The sequence below is a fragment of the Homo sapiens genome, chromosome 2, assembly GCF_000001405.40.
Source record: "Homo sapiens chromosome 2, GRCh38.p14 Primary Assembly".
Lineage (NCBI taxonomy): Eukaryota > Metazoa > Chordata > Mammalia > Primates > Hominidae > Homo > Homo sapiens.
In genome coordinates, this window is record NC_000002.12 from 239,791,554 (window position 1) to 239,810,492 (window position 18,939).

General features: G+C 48.1%; 1 long non-coding RNA gene across 1 annotated transcript in view; it reads left to right on the forward strand.

Annotated features, from left to right (window-relative positions):
• Positions 1-9,111, forward strand: part of LOC150935 (uncharacterized) — a 37,805-nt gene extending 28,694 nt beyond the window's left edge. Inside the window, exon 3 of the long non-coding RNA NR_037808.1 lies at positions 8,288-9,111. This is a non-coding gene — a long non-coding RNA (uncharacterized LOC150935). The remainder of the gene's footprint in view (positions 1-8,287) is intronic.
• The last annotated feature ends 9,828 nt before the right edge of the window (positions 9,112-18,939 follow it).

Here is an 18,939-nt window from a genome sequence, read left to right on the forward strand (position 1 = left end):
TGTAAAGAGCAGAACTAAAGTATTACAGAGAACAACAAGAGGCATTTTTCACGATTAGCCACTTAATTCGAAGGATTAGGACTCAAGCATAATACCGCACAGGAAGGGAGCATTGCATAATTAAAAACTCTTTTATAAACTGCAGCATTAAAACTGCCATGGCCAGTGAGCTTGGGAGTGTTTCCATGGTGGAGTGCTATTATCGGCCTAAGATGCTTCTCAGAAATGCAATTCCAAGTTCATAAACCCAGCGAGGACCCGCACTCCCAATTCCAGGCAGTTTTTGAAGCACTGTGGAAAATCCGGTGACGTAGGATGTGCCCGTTCCCCCAGCAGGGGTGGCTGCCATGCTGTTGACAGGGATGGGTGTGGACGCAGAGAGAGCCCAGGCAGACGAGGTGGGGAGCACGGGTGAGCAATGGGGCTGCCATGGAATTAAAGCATGCGGCTCTAGGGGCCCCAGGAAGCCAGGAGGACAGAAGCCCAACCACCCGAAACAGAGGAGGAGGAGTGAGGCCATCAGGTGCTAAGGGGGTCACTGGAGCCCCTAGGACATGGCCTCTGACTGCACGCCCAGACCTTTCAGCATGCCCACATGCTCCTGCAGCCAGGGCCTCGGCAGCTTGCCTTCCCATCCCCTGCAGCAGCAGGTCCAGTCCTGCCTCGTCTCCCTCGCAAGAGGGCTCAGGGCTGCTGCGTGGAAGGAAACGAATTGTCCCTGCAACAGTCTCTCACCCAGGAAAACCCCACACAGCACACAGCTCGGGAGTTGGTCCTTGGATGTTGGGGATGAGCTTCCCTCCCAGCCCCTTCTGCCTTCCCAGGAAGCAAGCCCAGGGGCGGCATCTGGACTCCTCTCTGTCCCCCATGCTCCTGCCTGGTGCACGTGCCTTGTCTGAAAGGAGAGTCTGAGAGCAGGGACCTTGTGCTTGGCTCCACTCAGTGCCTCCTGCTTTCCCACAGGACGGGGCCTTGCTGCCTGCAGGTGCCCTCATCCACGTCGTCCACATCATCCACATTGTCCGTGTCTGGCCTGGGCTGTCTCCCAGTGCCCGAGCTGACCCTCGTGGGCTCGTATGGACTACAGGGTTAGTGACTTTAAAAAAAAAAAAAATCAAGTTAGCCTAACTCACAAGTCCAAGCAAACAAATAAGGAAACAAGGCCCCTTGCCAGGGGTCCTAATGCGGCCGGAGTCTATCCCAGCAGGTCAAGCCCCTGCACTGCTGGCATCCCATGGTGAGTGGCAGGGCCCTCAGGGACAGGGAGGGGCCAGTGCTGTTCACATCTGCCCCCACCACAGCACGCTGCGCATGCCTGGCCAGGTCTTCGTGAGAGCAGTGGGAGTCTGCAGCTGCTCCTCGGCCCACCCAGGCCCTGCAGGGTCACCGCCAACATACGCATCCTCCCATCCCTCTGCTGCCCGCTCCAGGCTGGGCTCCACTTTATCCTGACATTGCTGCCTTATACCCGCACAGTGCTGGGACAGAATGACATCATCTCTTCTCTAGACCATGCTTTTAATAAGGAGTTTCCTAGAATATCTGCACTTACATAACCATAACCCCAAAAATGGGCCTGGCCTCTTTTATTTTTCTAAATAAACTCTTTTATTGAAGTTTAACTTCCCTACAGAAAAGTGCCAAATCACCAGGGTACAGCATGCTGGATTTTCACAGCACCTGTCTCACCGCCTCCAGACAAACAGGCAGGGTGTTACTGGTACTCCTGGGCCTCCTGGGGCTGGAGCCCTCCCCAGCCTCCACCTGGCCCCTTCTCCCCACGGTACGCATCCCACTGATTTGAAGTTTGTATGAATTTGAACATTCGAAGTTTGTATGAATGTGAACATTCGAAGTTTGTATAAAGTTTGCATGAATTTGAAGATATGAAGTTTGTATGAATTTGAAGATTGGAGGTTTGTATGAACTTGAAGATTTGAAGTTTGTATGGAGATTTGAAGTTTGTATGAAGTTGGTATGAATCTGAAGATTTAAAGTTTGCATGAAGTTTGTATGAATGTGAAGATTTGAAGTTTGTATGAACTTGAAGATTTAAAGTTTGCATGAAGTTTGTATGAATGTGAAGATTTGAAGTTTGCATGAATGGAAAGATGTGGCATATATTCTCCTGGCCTGACATCTTTTACTCACCATTGCACCTGTAAGAGTCATGCCTGGGAGTGCATGCATGCTGTGAGTGCACTCATTGCTATTGCTGATTGGGACTGAATTGGATGCCACAATGCATTCATCCTGCTATTCAGGGATGTCTCATCCTTGTGCCCAGGTTTGGGTATGTGTGCATGGCTTCTGGCTTCTGGCTGGGATGGGGATCCATTGGTGGGATGGGGAGCGTGCACGCTAGGGTATAGCAATGCCCTGACTGGCCTCCAACATAGCTGTGCCACCATAGGCTCCCCCAGCAGGCAAGGGTCCGCTGCCCCACAACTGGCCAGCCCTGGCCAGCGCAGGCTGCTGTCTTTGAGCCTTTCCACCATGCTGTGGCCTTCATGTGTGTTTCTCTGACATCTGGCCAGGCTGAGCACCTCGATGTCCACTGGCCAGCTGTGTGGCCTCTTTCATCCACAGCCTGTTAGGTCTCTTGCTTATCTCCCATTCGGCTTTCTGACGTTTCCTCATTGATGTCCAGGAGTCCTTCCATACTCTGGGATGAGTCATGGGTTATGTGGATGGCAAGGACACTCTGTCCTTTAAAATTACTGTTTTATTGTTTTTCCATTTTTCCTCAATGTCGTTTGTATCTTTTTCTCTCCTTCAGCTTATACAGTATTAATTTTCTTTTGTGAATTTTTTCCTTCCTATAAACTCCTTAATCGTACATTTCTTCACTCTTCTTTTAGAGGTTATCTTAGGCTTAGAGATTTTCAAAATGTATCCTTCACTTATAAAATATGTATATTCATATAGTATATATTTACATACAAATTTATAAGATCTAGTTTTATTATGTACATTTTACATAACATACAGTAAAATTTTATGAGTTTATATAATAAAAATAAAACTCCAAAATAATTTTAATACACTGCAAGGGCCTAAGAATATTTAGATTCCATTTACTTCTATGCTACTGTTGCTACTATGCTACCGTATTTTAGTTCTACATTTATTTTAAATCTCACAGAACATGATTTTTGTTGTCCTAAACACTAAATATTCACTTAGATTGGCCCATGTAGGTTTACCTTTTTTCTCGTTATTCCTTCATTTCAAAGATTCCACCTAGGATCGTTTTCCCTCTACAAGAAGAATCCCCTTGTACTGGCCGGGCACAGTGGCTCACGCCTGTAATCCCTGCACTTTGGGAGGCCGAGGTGGGTGGATCACTTGAAGTCAGGAGTTTGAGATCAGCCTGGCCAACACTGGGAAACCCCGTCTCTAGTAAAAATACAAAAATTAGCCAGGTGTGGTGGGGCACACCTGTAATCCCAGCTACTCGAGAGGCTGAGACAGGAGAATCTCTTGTACCCAGGAGGCAGAGGTTGCAGTGAGCCGAGATCATGCCACTGCACTCCAGCCTGGGTAACAGAGTGAGACTCAGTCTCAAAAAAATAATAATTAATTAATTATAAATAAATAAATGAATAAATAAATAATCCCCTTTAGGTCTGTGTTTTAGTTGCAAATTTTCTCAGACTTTATATGAAAACATCTATTTTACCTTTAGGTTTAGAAGATATTTTCACTGGGCATAGAATTCTGAGTTGGCAATTATTTTCTTTTAGCACTTGAAATACATCATTCAATTGTCTCCTGACTTCTACTTTTTTCTGTTGAGGAAGTAGCTGTCGGGTTTATTTCTTTGTAAATAATGTATCTATCTTTCCCAGATCCAACCCCAGTTTCTTTTTTTCTCTCAATTTTTATTGTGGTAAGATACACATAACATAAAATTTTCCACAATAATCATTTTTAAGTGTACAATTCCATGGTATTAAATATATTCCGAATGTGTACAACCATCATCACCATCGTCTCCAGAAACTTTCCATTTTCCCAAACTGAAACTCTGTCCCCATTAAACACTCCCTCCCCATCCCTCTTCCCCTAGCCCCTGGCAAACCCCATTCCACTTTCTTTAATACTTTTTTCAAGTACTTTGAATACCTTTTTCAAATACTTTCATGCAGCCTTTGTCTTTTTGTGATGGGTTCGTTTCACTTAGCACAGTGTCCTCAAGATTCATCCATGTTGTAGCATGTGTTAGAATTTCCTTCCTCTTGGAGGTGGGGGGTCAGCCCCCTGCCCGGCCAGCCGCCCCGTCCGGGAGGGAGGTCGGGGGTCAGCCCCCCGCCCAGCCAGCCGCCCCATCCAGGAGGGAGGTGGGGGGTCAGCCCCCCACCTGGCCAGCCCCCCTCATCCGGGAGGGAGGTTGGGGGTCAGCCCCCACCCGGCCAGCCACCCCGTCCGGGAGGGAGGTGGGGGGGTCAGCCCCCGCCCGGCCAGCTGCCCCTTCCGGGAGGTGGGGGGCGCCTCTTCCCGGCCACCCCTACTGGGAAGTGAGAAGCCCCTCTGCCCAGCCACCACCCCATCTGGGAGGTGTACCCAACAGCTCATTGAGAATGGGCCATGATGACAATGGCGGTTTTGTGGAATAGAAAAGGGGGAAAGGTGGGGAAAAGATTGAGAAATCGGATGGTTGCTGTGTCTGTGTAGAGAGAAGTAGATATGGGAGACTTTTCGTTTCATTCTGTACTAAGAAAAATTCTTCTGCCTTGGGATCCTGTTGATCTATGACCTTACCCCCAACCCCGTGCTCTCTGAAACATGTGCTGTGTCCACTCAGGGTTAAATGGATTAAGGGCGGTGCAAGATGTGCTTTGTTAAACAGATGCTTGAAGGCAGCATGCTCGTTAATAGTCATCACCACTCCCTAATCTCAAGTACCCAGGGACACAAACACTGCGGAAGGCCGCAAGGTCGTCTGCCTAGGAAAACCAGAGACCTTTGTTCACTTGTTTATCTGCTGACCTTCCCTCTACTATTGTCCTATGACCCTGCCAAATCCCCCTCTGCGAGAAACACCCAAGAATGATCAATAAAAAAAAAAAAAAAAAAAAAAAAAAAAGAATTTCCTTCCTCTTTAAGGCTAAATAACATTGCATTTATATGTATACTACATTTTGCCTATCCACTCATCTATTGATGAATACCTGAGTTCATTCCACATTTTAGCAATTGTGAATAATATTGCTATGAAAATCAATCTTCAAATATCTTTTTGAGACTCTGCTTTCAGTTCTTTTGGGAGTATACCCATAAATAGAATTTCTGGATCATATGGTAAAAGTATTTTTAATGCTTTGAGGAATCACGGTATTGTTTTGGGTAGTGGCTGCACCATTTGACATTCCCACCGACAGTACACAAGGGTTCCAATTTCTCCACCTCTTTCAGCAAACTTATTTTCTTTTTTTTTTTTTGTAGTTGCTATCGTAATGGGTATGAGATGACCCAACTTTCCTTTAATATTTTCTTTTTGTCCTTGGTTTTCAGTAGTTTTCCTACAATATGCCTAGCTGTGGCTTTCTTTTTATTCATTCTACTTGGAGTTTGTAACTTTGCTGGTTCTGTGGCTTGATGCACGTAGTGTTTTAGAAAATGCCCAGCCAGCATATCCTCAACATTTCTATATGCTCTGTCCTATTCTCTCTTTTCCTCTCTCTCTCTCTCTCTCTGACTCCAACCGCGTATACATTAGGCTTTTATTTTTCCCATCTCCCACGTGCTTTTTATGTTCTTATACTGTACATATCATCCTTTTGCCTCTTGGTCCCTCATTTTGGCTGTTTTCTATTGACTCACCTTCTAGCTCATTAATATGCTCTTTTGTCATGTCTGATTTGCTTTTAAATCCATTTGATGACTTCTTAATTTAATTCTATTTTCCATTTGAATTTTTCAAAATTTTCAGCTCTTTATTGAAATTTTTTGTGTTGCCAGCTATTTTTAAGCATATTCATGAGCTATTCTAAAGTCCATAGTAACTTCTGTATCTGTATCTTCTTTGGATCTCTTTCTATCCTCTGTTTTTCCCCACTGGTGTTTGGTCATTTGCTGTTGTCTCTAGCATGTCTGGTAATCTTGATTGAACAGTTGATAATGTGTATAAATATTTGAGGCAAATCAAAGTTTGAGGTTTTTACTTATCTTCCTCCAAAGAGGATTTATTTTTGCTTCTGGTAACTAGTTAAGGGGAAGGGGAAGCTCACTTAGCCCCACCTGGAAGTGAGGTGTTTGGTCATTGAGAAGGCTGACTATTGACTTCAGGTGAAGACTGGAATTTCTGCTAGGCCATACTCTCTGATGGGAGTTTCATTCCATTTGCTGTCCTCCAAGCCCCATGATGTGGCTGACACTTCTCAGGCTCTCAGCTGGGGCAATTTGCTCAACTTACCAGTTGTTTGGGCCAAAGATTATGAATGTCTCCACGTAGGAAGAAGAGATAAATGTTGGACTCATTTCTCTTTGTTTTTCTTCTCTCCAGGATCCTGACCCCTGGACTATTCTTTGCCTTGGTAGTCCTCTGGTGCCTTTAAACCAATTTTTAAGATACATTTAATCTAGATTTTTAGGATTTGTTAGTGACAATGGTTAACATAGTTCACCATTATAAAAAATGGATGCCTTCCCTTAGACATTTTAATACAGGTGAGTGAGAGAAATGAACTTCATTTTTTCTTCCTTTCCTCTCAAATTAGTGGAGTCCTAGACCATGAATGGCATCTGTTGGCCACTCATAAAAAGCCCACTCTATGCAAGGTACTAGAGGTGAAGTACATGATTCATTCCTGGCCTGTTCCCTGTGGGGCGTTGGGATGATCAGGAAGAGGGGTAAATGCTTTCCAACAATTTAAAGACAGTTTTAGATGGCATCATTTTGTCCTGTTAAAAAGGAAACAATAAATCAAATTATAGTCAACAGCAAAAAAATCCAAATGGTAATCTAAGCGCTGAGCCTGGTTCCTGCCACACAGCGGGCACTCAGTTACTTATTATTGTTTTTGGCTTCTTGAAGCACCTTCCTGGTCCTCTGAAGAGGTTCATATTTTTGTCTTTGTATTTTTATCTTTGGAAGTTCTCTGAAAGGTTCTCCGAAAGGTTGGGACTTGCATTTATTTCAACCCATTCTACAGACAGCCACAGAGAGCTGAAATGTGAGCTTTAACCCAGAACAAAGACAGCGCAGAGTGCACATGTCCCAAATCCTCCTTTGCACTCCCCACTTGGAAAAGAGCCATAAGAAACCGATTTATCCAGAACCCTGAGAGTTCCACTGGACCCAGGCCTTCTTTCTTTGCTCTCCCTCTCATCTTGAAATCTAGCAATGACTACACAAAATGAAATATGCAGGAATGTTCCTTTCGCAGATATATTTCAAAGAATAATTATAGAAAAGGGAAATCTACAGATTGAAAGAGACTTTAAAAACATCCATCAATCACACTGTGTCAACCTTATTTGGATTCTGACTCAAACAAACAAAATGTAAGAAAGACAAATTGACATTTATGAGGCCATTGAAAACTTGAACACTGATGATATTTGATATTAAATGTTTTTGAAATAGTAAGGACATAACCATTATCTTGCCTAAAAACACGAGCCTTTACCTTTTAGAAATACATGCAGAAACATGTACAAAAGATATTTTATAATGCCTTGGGTTTATTTCTTAAAAAATATGAGGAAAGGGGAAGTGTGAGGGAATTTATGTATTTATTTATTTATTTTTTGAGAGAGGTTCTCTCTCTGTTGCCCAGGCTGGAGTGTAATGGCACAATCTTGGCTCACTGCACCCTCCACCTCTCGGGTTCAAATGATTCTTTTGCCTCAGCCTCCTGAGTAGCTGGGATTACAGGCACCCGCCACCTCACCCAGCTAGTTTTTGTATTTTTAATAGAGACAGGGTTTCACCATATTGGCCAGGCTGAGAGAATTTAGATGTAAAAATATGTATATTGATTTAGGACAGTACTTGAAGCTGGGTGTTAGGTACATGAAAATACACTGTAGCATTCTACATGTTCTTTATATGTTTAAAATTCTCCATAAGAAGAAGTTGAAAATATGCCGAGAATAAATAAGCATGTTGAAGACTTCTTTGAATTGACTCCTGCTTGGCCTCATTTTCTCTTTTTTCATTCCTGAAATTTCCTAAGTAAACGGTTAACTTCTGTACTAACTCTCCATGGTGAGCCGTGCATTTGCTGGTGCTGCCTCAGATCATCAAAGTCCTCATTTAATTCGTCTCTTTTCTCATTAGGAAAATGAGCCCCCCTTCTCCACGGGTTCCCCAACACCTCAGAAGTCCAGGAAGACACAGTGATGATTCATACATTTTGCCAAAGAGGGATGATTTCATGAAATCTCCAAATGATCACGATAACATCCCAGCCATTAGGGATACTAAGCCAGCCACCGAAATTGGCAGAGAAGCCCTCATCTTTGAGAGGAGTAGGAAGCAACACATATACTCTATGTCCAGAATTAGAATCCATACTGGCATGCTGTTCCTATACATCAACCCGAACCCCAGCCCCCAACCCCACTCACTGGAGGCAGAATGGTGTGGGTTCAGCCTCAGCTCAGATGCTCACTAGCCAGAAGACCAGAAAGCACCTACCTCCCTAAGCACCAACCTCTTCATCTAGAACATGAAAGTCACATCCTTCTCCTGCCTCTGTCCCCAAAGTGAGCTAAGCTCAGAAGAGCCAAGCCCAGGAAAGTATTTAGAAAATGGATCCATTGAACAGCTCTTCCATTGCAGGTCAGATTCTTCAATGAATTCTTTAATTGAACCATTTGTTAACTAATATCATGTGTTGGCTTTTGGTTTTACTATGTTTTAGTACAAATATCCAGGGACAAACTCTTCAGCTGACTACATCTGATGACTAAATTGTTCAATTGCTTCTGTAATTTTCTCTATCCTGGTGATGACATCTTGAGAGGTGAAGCCAGCTGTGCTTCTGGGTCAGGTGGGGACTTGGAGAACTTTTCTTTCTAGCTAAAGGATTGTAAATGCACCAATCAGCACTCTGTGTGTAGCTAAAGGATTGTAAATGCACCAATCAGCATTCTGTAAAAATGGACCAATCAGCATTCTGTAAAATGGACCAATCAGCACTCTGTAAAATGGACCAATCAGTGCTCTGTAAAATGGACCAATCAACAGGACATGGGCGGGGACAAATAAGGGAATAAAAGCTGGCCACTGCCAGCTTGCTGCGGGAACATGCTCAGGTCTGTTCTTTTGTCTTGATTATAAATCTTGCTGCTGCTTGCTCTTTCGGTCCGCACCACCGTTAAGAGCTGTGACACTCCCCGCGAGGGTCTGTGGTTGCGTTCTTGAAGTCAGCAGGACCAGAAACCCACGGGAAGGAACCAGTTCCGGACAAAATCTCAGGCCCAGTCAACTGTCACCTGATCCCAACTCTAGCCAGACTCAGTTTTAAGTCCCGTCGACTGCCACCTGAACCCAACTCAAGCCAGACTCATTTAAGAGGAGAGTGAGCAAAGCCACACCCCCTCCCTGTTGCCAGTCTCTTCGTGCGTGGGCAACTGGTTCTGCAACCAGTTCATATGTCAATGGGCCATTAATCGTGCTGTAAAACGGGCCGTAAAATACCCCAAATCATTTATTCCACTCCCTCTTGCCCTGTGAAAATGAGCTGGTGAGAAGAAGCGTGAAGGGGGAGGTGCTTCTATTTTGCTGGACCCTCGCTCTGCCAACCACCCGTCACCACCTCCCCACTGAAATACCCGTGGAGGAGCCTTGGGAGCCAGGACTATGGGTCAGTGCTCCGCCGCAGGGATTTCTGTCTCCCACGGTGTGGTCAGTGAGCTGGAGTGCGACCAGGTCCCCACTGGCACCTCTCTCTCTTTGGGTTGGATTCTTGGAACTGAGACCCCCTAGCCGCAGCCCCCCTCTGCTGTGCGTCTGCCACTTTCCGGGCCATGAATACATGTTCATGTCTACACCACGCTGGAACCATTTTCTGTCCCACCTCGGGACTGGGTGGCACGTGAGAGCGGCCAGGGAGAGACCGCATCTGGGAAGGCACAGCTGGCTGCAGGGAACGGCCGCCCTGGAAGAGCCCGTGGGCCCAGCAACCCAGGGTTCTAGTACCTGGTGACTGACCCTTTCTGGTAAGAGAATAGTGATGAACTTTGAAGTTATCTGGAGGTGAGTTCCGTTCTTCCTTGTGAGATGACTGAGGGGTGGGGGCTGAAATTCTGCATGGAGCTGGGGTGGTCCTTTTGGTGGAGGCCAGACACTGGCCTTTGGGCTCCGCAGGTGAGCTGCAGCGAAGGTCCTCAGTCAGCCAGATGGATGGTGCGAGGAGCCAGGGAGCCCACCTGCTATGCCTGGGAAAATGGTTTGTCTTCCAGGACAAGTCATTCTACAACCTGCACAGAGCTCCGGAGCTGCAGAGAGGGAGCTCGTTGTATCCATTCGTCTGTGTCTTTATATATTCATGAATGTGAATGGTATAGAGTCACTGCTCACCGTGGGATAAAAGGCAATTTTTAGAAAGCATCTGTTCTGTGTTCTCAACAAGACTCAGGAAACTCTGTGAAAAGAGATGGAGAGCGAGATAACTAAGTGACAGACTGGGATGAAAATGGAATTGGCTGAGGAGTAGCAGGAAGGAACACGCAGGCTGGGCGAGGCGCTGGGGACAGCAGGGAAGGGAAGTTCCACCTGAGCAAAGCTGTGAACTCAGCTTCAAGACCCCACGCTGCTGCAGAAACCTGCTGGGGATGGAGAGGACAAACCCCAGACACCGTCGTGGGATGTAGAGGGGAAGGACAAAGAACAAAATGAAAACCCCCCACGATGGCAAAGACGACGGGCAAGAACGATTGGGCGTGGCGCGCAGGAGTGGTCCCCGCGAAGACAGCGTCAGAGGGAAGGGAACACATCCCAGCCACAGCCAGGCAGGAGGGAGAAGCCTCGGAGCTGAAGCAAGCCCCGAGTCTGTTATCAGCAAAGGTCAGGCCAAGGCCCGGGGAAACCGTGAAATGTTGTGTACACACGTTGCACACTCTCAAGAAGCTTAAAAATACTGAGTATCATAATAGCGAGCAGCTATGAGGAAAAGCCACTATGAGCCTACTGCTGGCTCAGGTTCCAGTCTTCGTTTTAAACGCATGAGTGTTAAAGTTAACTTCTCTGGCCGGGTGCGGTGGCTCATGCCTGTAATCCCAGCGCTTTGGGAGGCCGAGGTGGGCGGATCACCTGAGGTCAGGAGTTTGAAACCAGCCTGGCCAACATGGTGAAACCCCGTCACTAATAAAAATACAAAAAAAAAAAAAAAATTAGCTGGGCATGGTGGCAGGCGCCTATAATAATCCCAGCTACTTGGGAGGCTGAGGCATGAGAATTGTTTGAACTTGGGAAGTGGAGTTTGCAGTGAGCTGAGATCGTGCCACTGCACTCCAGCCTGGGCAACAGAGCAAAACTCTTGTCTCAAAAAAAAAAATTAAATAAAAAATAAAGATAACGTCTCTTTAACCGTCATCCCGAGCCCCTGCCCCTTCCATCCTTCCCCGCCTGAAATGCTCTTAGTGTTGGAAACAAATAATAGATTCCATAGATTTAAAGTTGTGCTCCAGGTCCTGCTGATCAAATAGAAGATCCCTGGATATAAACCCCACACCCTTGCTGCCCCGTCCCTGCTGTACCCTACACGCCTGTGTCATTGTCACACTTGCCGAGGCCTTGGGGACACCATGTGTGAGGAACAGGCTGGATCTTCTCTCATCTTCCCTTCTTTACCCGCGATGTCCCTCTGCCTCCATTGCTGCTGCCTGGTGAGCTCCTCCTTATCCTCACAGGCCCCTGCAAGGACACCTCCTCCATGAAGCCCTGCTTGATCTCTGACTTATGCTCACTTCTGAGTCTGACTCCCAGGAGGCCCCACATACAGAAGCGTAGCTCTCACTAGCCTCCCTAGGGCCTCGCACTTGCTGTTCTCGCTTGAGTACTCAGTGTCTTCACTGAATTTGACAGGGTTTTAAGTTCCGATGTAGCGTCATTATCCTGGCGATGTAGCATCGTTATCCTGGCGCCGTAGCGTCCTTATCCTGGCGCCGTAGCATCACAGCACACCTTTCCCCGGTTCACCACCTCTGTTGCCAGCGGCCACCAGGGAGGACCCTTCAGTGCTCCAGCAGCAGCCAAAACATGTTACCGCAAATTCTTAACAAGATTCAGGAGGAACCAATGTGGTTGTCTCGCAGGCTTGACGAGCCAGTGCCTTGTTTTCCGAGTCTCCATTTCCTTATTATTCCCCTGGAATAACGCCTTCGCCGCAATCCGCAGGGAGCCACTGCTGTGCGGGAGATGGCAGCCAGTGCTTCTGAAAGGACAAAGGGAACACAGGGCTCGCTGCATGCAGCAGGGAGTGGGGACAAGGACGGCCTTGTCGTATAAAGGGAAAAGAAGTTGAAGATGCTAAAGATAGAAAAAAAAAATTAAGCTGGAGTCATGCTTCCCAAGAGAGGGACAAATTCACTGCTGGTTAGCGCTGGCTGGCCGAGGAGGCCACGCACCTGTGTGGAAGCTGCAAAGAACAATCACATAGCTCTGGTGTGGGCTTTGAAAATATCCCAGGTGTGTGAAGTCCCTCGGGTGCTGGGGGTGGCTGAGGCACGGACCGGTGTGTCTAAGCGAACACGCCCCTTCCTCACTGCCACTGCATGTGATGGCCCCAGCTGGGCCCCGCTGCCCCCAGCATGTACCACATGGGTGCTGCCCTCTGAGAGCCAGCCCTAGGGAGGCTCCCAGGGACATGCCTGGTGCAGCTCCAGCTGACCCACAGAGGCCCAGCTCTGTGCCAGCAACTCCAATGTCCCTGTAGCTCATCCACTCACTCCAGGGAGGCCAGAGACCTCTGCGTGCGACACCGAGGTGCAGTGGTGAGAATCATTGTCCAAGCACATGTGGCCAGCAAGTCACAGTAGCCTCAGCCTCAGGCTCGTTGGACACAGCTGTGCTGACGGGCAGAGGATGGGGAGGGCAGGGTCTCTGGAGATGGTCAGACCATGGTGGACACCACCCACCTGTGAATGGTCAGTTCTGACAACGGGCCATATGTGTGGCCAGGCATCTTTGAGCCCAGTATTTGGAGACACTTTTCAGGCCCCCTGGTAGCTTTCTGAGGCTCTCTGAGTGAGGGGCTACGGCCCTAGGCATCCTCACTGTCTCAGAGGGAGCTGAGGGCCCTCCGAGGGCAGCAGCATGGAGCAAAAGATCCTGGGCCAGGAGCCAGACCTGTGGCTGCCGGAGTCCCCAGTTCCAGGCACGCCTCCTCCACAGTCTGATTCTGTCTCCCTCCCTGTAAAACAAAAGGGCTGAGTTTTCAGAGTCTCCAAGACATGATGCTCCTTTCAGCTCCATCCCGGTTTTAAAATGAAAGAATCAGGTCTCACCCAGCCTTGTAGGCAGGTCACGGCAGGATTTTATGGAAGCGGCGGTCCCCCGTCATTTGCCCAAAGCTCCCCAGAGCCTGGGCCTTGAACCAGCGAGGAGTAGCGGGGCAAGCAGGCACCACCTGTCCGGTCTGTGAGGCCCAGGCCTCCGGAGATCCCCCAGCCCAGTGCACCTGAGGCTGATGCGCAGTGGGACGCCCAGGCCACCAGCTCCTACAGGGTGATGCTCAGCGAGGAAGAAGAGGTCTCCGAGGATCTCCTCCTGGACCTCACTCTTACATTCACACGGATAATCCCCTTTCAGAATAAATGGGTAGCTTCAACTGCTCGTATGCTGTCATTGACTGTGTAAACCATAAAGTGTCTGAGGCAGGTCTCAGTCTACTCAGAGGTTTATTTTGCCCGGGTTAAGGATGAGACTGTGAAAAAAGGAACACAAAACTACAGGAAGAGTCTGTGATCTGTGCTTTTTCCAAAGAGGCTTTCGAGGGTTTCCATATTTTAAGAGGAAAAGGGGGCAGCGAGGGAAATTGGAGGGCATGGTCACGTGACTGAACCCTCGTGTCATACGTGAAGAGGAGCAGGTAGAGGAATGGGTGGTGCATTTCTCTGGCGTTCGGTAAATCAGCAGTTTCCGTGAGACACAGGAAGCACAGCAGAGCCACTGTGCAGATCCCGGGCCTCCTCTCCGAGCTCTCTGCTTAAGAACAAGAGGAGGCCGAGTACGGTGGCTTACGCCTGTAATCCTAGCACTTTGGGAGGTCAAGGTGGGTGGATCACAACATCAGGAGTTCAAGACCAGCCTGGCCAAGATGGTGAAACCCCGTCTCTACTAAAAATACAAAAAAATTAGCCAGGTGCGGTGGCGGGCACCTGTAATCCCAGCTACTCAGGAGGCTGAGGCAGAGAATTGCTTGAACCCGGGAGGCAGAGGTTGCAGTGAGCCGCTGCACTTCAGCCTGGTGACAGAGCAAGACTCCGTCTCAAAAAAAAAAAAAGAAAAAAAAGGGAAGGCAGTTTCTCACATGACAACATGACAGAGCTTCCATCCAGCTTTATTTTTCCTTTTGGCACGGTGAACTTGGGTCCTGAGATATGCCGTGACATACATTAAAAAGCTAAACGCATCATGACACACCTGAGCCTTCTGGATCAGCCAGAGCGGGTGTTATCTATTGTGCGGCTCCACCAGCTGCAGCACCACCCTCACGGCGCATGGTGTTCACCTTGCCGTGAGCTTCGTGGTTGCCTTTTTGCCTTTTAAGCCAACTGCCCCCTGCTCAGAGCTCCCCGAGAGCACTCGGCAGTCCTTTATTTTATTACCACCCTGCTCTTCTGCCTAATGAGGGAAGGGGAGCCTGGCTGATAAGAAGCTGACGGTCCTACCCAGCTCCCTCAAGCCCCGGCCCAGGGGACCTGCTTCTGGTCTCTGAGCCCTCACTGGTCCCACCTACTCAGTGAGCAGCAGGCAAGGAAGAGGGGCCCAGTGAGTTGGGGTTTGAACCAATCCTGCAGAGCGGGCAGTTAGGAAGTCTTCTCTCTCATCTGCTCTCTGGGGAACTTCTGAGAAGTCGCCGTGGTGGTTCTCATCTTTGGTTTCTTTGCTGGATCCAGAGAGATGCTGAGTCCAAACTACCTACAGAGAGTTACCAGGGATCATCAGACCTCACTCCCTCAGAGGGGAGGGTGAAAATGGGCAAATGTGGAGACAAAGGCCTTTGAGGATGCAGAGAGCCAGACACAAAGGGCTTCTAAGAGACCGCACTTCACGGCCAACTTTTGCTACAACTCCTCCATGTACCACTTGCACAACATCAAAGCAAAGTCAGACAGCATGGGGCACGTGGACAGAGCGGGGGCACATGGGGCAGAGTGGGGCATGTGTGGCAGTGAGGCCACTGCCCGGCCCAAGCCACAGGCTGTGTCCCAGAGGGAGGTAGACTCAGTGTTCAGCCCTGGCTGATGCCCATCCTCCCACCAGTCCTGAGTAGGGACATGCCCCCCCACGGGTGCTGCAAGGGGCAGGTGTGGGTTCAGCTACCTTTGCATCCCATTGGCCCATCCTTGATCCTTGTCTAAGCGGCAGGGACAGGATGAGAGGGCCAACAGAATAAAGCCAGGGTGAACCGCTCCCACTGCTGCAGGATGGAAGGTGCTCTTGGAAGAGACTCAGAAAGGCGTCCTCCCCTCACGCTGCCTCCAGGCTGGGTTGTCCCTGAGACCAGGGCCCCCAGGCCAGCACCCAGGCCCGGTACCCACGCCTCCCGGAGGCACTGCTGGACTTTCCGAGGAATGCCCAGAGAGGCCCCTGTATCCATTCACTTCCCTTCAGGCGCCTCTGAAACTCCCCCAGACGATCATGGACGAGAGCGGCTTTGAAAGCCAGAGCACAAGACGCAAATGGAAGGATCACCAGGACCCCAGGGCTGGTAGCTCACAGCAGCTAGGCACTCTTCTCAAATCCTGCCGTGCTTTGATAAATGCCCTGGACTTCTTCAAACACACTGCCAGGTGCAGGAATGTTCAGCCCTCCACACACCACTCTGTGCCTATCTTTGAAAAGTTATTCTTTGTTTTTGAAGTTACACATGGGGGAAAAATTACACAATCCGTAAAACAGAAAGTAGAAATCCACTAAAGCTCAACCACCTAGAAATGGCTGCGGCTGCCCTGGCTCGGGGTTCCTCCATCTATCAGATTGGAGCTGGGAGAGCAAAGTGCTTCCCACCAATTCCCACCAATGCTGGACCCACAGCAAGGTAGGGCAGGGGGCAGGCAGGTCTGGGTGCAGCGCTCACGTCAACAAACTGGGCAAGAATACTCGAGCACCCCTCTTTCTTTCCCAAGCACGTTCCTGGGCGATGGCACTTCCGGGAGAGAGGAAAGGGTTGCTTGTCCACCTAAATGCAAGTTTATCCTGTACGCATGTACACTTTACTCTGAAATCAGCTTTCTTCTGTCAACAATATGATATAGAAATAGTTCACAACAAGCAGACATGTACGTCATTGCTTTTAATTAGCATGTGATCTTTCAGTAGATTTATCAGAGCTTATATAGCCAATCTCCATTAATGAGCATTTAGAGATGTCATGTTTTTCTTTTTCCCTTTGTTTAATAAATCATTTCCTATGAACATCTTCGTGCATCCCTCGTTTAACCTTGTGCAGTTATCACCTTTACAACAAATAACGACTCAGGCAGAAGCTGGAGCCATCACACATTATGGTGCTGGTTTCGGAACTGTGTTTTTGATGGTTCTAACGTGAGCCGCTACTAAGCACACAAGAAGACTCGCCAGCACAGATTTCTTTGATCTTTAATATTTCTCAATCCAATAGCTAATGTTTAACACTCTTATTGTTATTTTGCATTTCTTTTCTGTAATTATTGGTTGTTTTTCTTTTCTTTTTGTATGCCTGTGCATAGCCTCTTGCCATTTCTTTCTATTGGGATTTTTTCCTAATTTATTTGTAAATATCCTTTGCATAATAGACCTTGTCAATCATGCGTGTGAAAAACACCTTCCCAGTTTTTAAATTTGATTTTCATCCTGGCTGTAGGCGTTTTTTTTTTCAGCTATTTTACATTTTTATGTAGTCATACTTATCAATATTTTTCAGTATGATTTCTGGAGTTGGGAACATGCTTAAAAAAAGGCCTCCTTCAGTAACTCCAAGCCTTTTCAGCATCATTGGATTCTAGAACATTTACATTTTAGTTTTTAATATTTAATTCTTTGATGGATCTGAATTTACTGAGTTTTAAAGACATGAGATTCAAACTGTGTTCTTTCTCCGTGTGCCAAGCCATTTGGCTCAAAATGTTTTTCTGAAAGATAGACTCAATCCTTGTCATGTGTCTGAAGAACCCCTTCCCCTGATGCCAGTCTGTCTGTCCGTCCAGCCTGCCCCATGAGTGCTGCGTGCAATGGCAGGAGCTTTAAGGACATTTAACTCCTGACCATGTTACTTCCTTGACTTGACGTGGCTCCTTTTTACAATTTTTCTGTTTGAAGTTTATGATTTTCATTTTTCCATTTTAAGGGAAAAGGAATCTTTGAATTTTTATAATAAGCATCATCTTATCTTGTCATTAGAATAATAGATAAGTACAGAAGTAAATAATTCAGGATACGAAGTACCCTATAACCCTCTTGCTACCCCAGGGAACCAGCCGAGGCACCATCACAGACTCCTAGGAATCCTGCAGCCCATGGACCCTGGACATTCTCTAAGGGCCCTTCCTGTTCTGCACCCATTCATGGTAGCATCTTCCTTCCTTTAAAGCCAACTCTGCTCCCCCACCCAAGACCCTCCCTGTGTCCTGGAGCCCAGGGTCTTGCGTTCCAGCCTCGTGTCTGTGTTTCTGTCTCGGGTCTGTGTTTCTGTCTTGGGTCTGTGTTTCTGTCTTGGGTCTGTGTAGAGTCTCAGAAGGTGTCCACCACCTCCCTCCTCCCTCCTCCCTGTGTGGGCGCTGCTCCCTCCCCAGAGACTGGGCCAGCCTTGGAGACTGACTCGGTCGATGGCGAGTGGTGGGAGTGGCTGGGCAGTGACTAGGCTCCGGCCCTTTCTTCCCCTGAGACAGTCGCCCCTGCCATCTCTCGCTGCTGCCTGGCGTGCCCTACTGTCCTGTGGATGGTTTCCTTTGGGGCAGGGGCACTCGACTTGTCAGTGTCTTGTGTTTGGCCCTGGCCCAGTGATCCTGCAGGAAACCAACAAAAGCCATTTCCGTCCGGGAGACTTTTCCCTCAATGCACATCAGATCACCTGGAGTCAGCATCCCCTGTGACTATATGAAACAGGGGGATAGAGCAAACATGTTTTCACTTAAGGGTTTTAATGAGATCCCAGCTCATTAGGTGTTAATCAGGGCTGTTTGAGAAGGCACCAAGCCACAGTGTGAGAAAGCCTCCTTCACAATCTGCCCTTCACACATTTTTTTTTTTCGAGACAAAATCTCACTCTGTTTTCCAGGCTAGAGTTTAATGGTGCAATCACAACTCACTGCAGCCTTGACCTCCCAGGCACAAGTGATCCTCCTGCCTCAGCCTCCAGAGTAGCTCAGACTACAGGCAGACTCCACTATGCTTGGCTAATTATTTTTAAATTTTTTTGTAGAGAGAGGGTCTCGCTACATTGCCCAGGCTGGTCTTGAACTCCTGGGCTCAAGGGATCCTCCTGCCCTCGGCCTCCCAAAGTGCTGGGATTACAGGTGTGAGCCACCACACCTGGCCCCTTAACTCTTCCATGTCATCTAGAACAGAGCTTGTGGGGCTGCAACATGCTCACATGCCCCAGGGACTGTGCTGAAATGAGAATTCTGACCCAGGAGCCATGGGGTGGGGCCTGAGGGCCTACATTTCTAACAGCCTCCCAAGTGATGCTGATGCTGCTGGTTCCTGGACCACACATGAGCAAGCTGGGATCTAGATGTGCCTTTGCCCTCACGGGCAGCAGGGGTGTGAGCCGTGCGCAC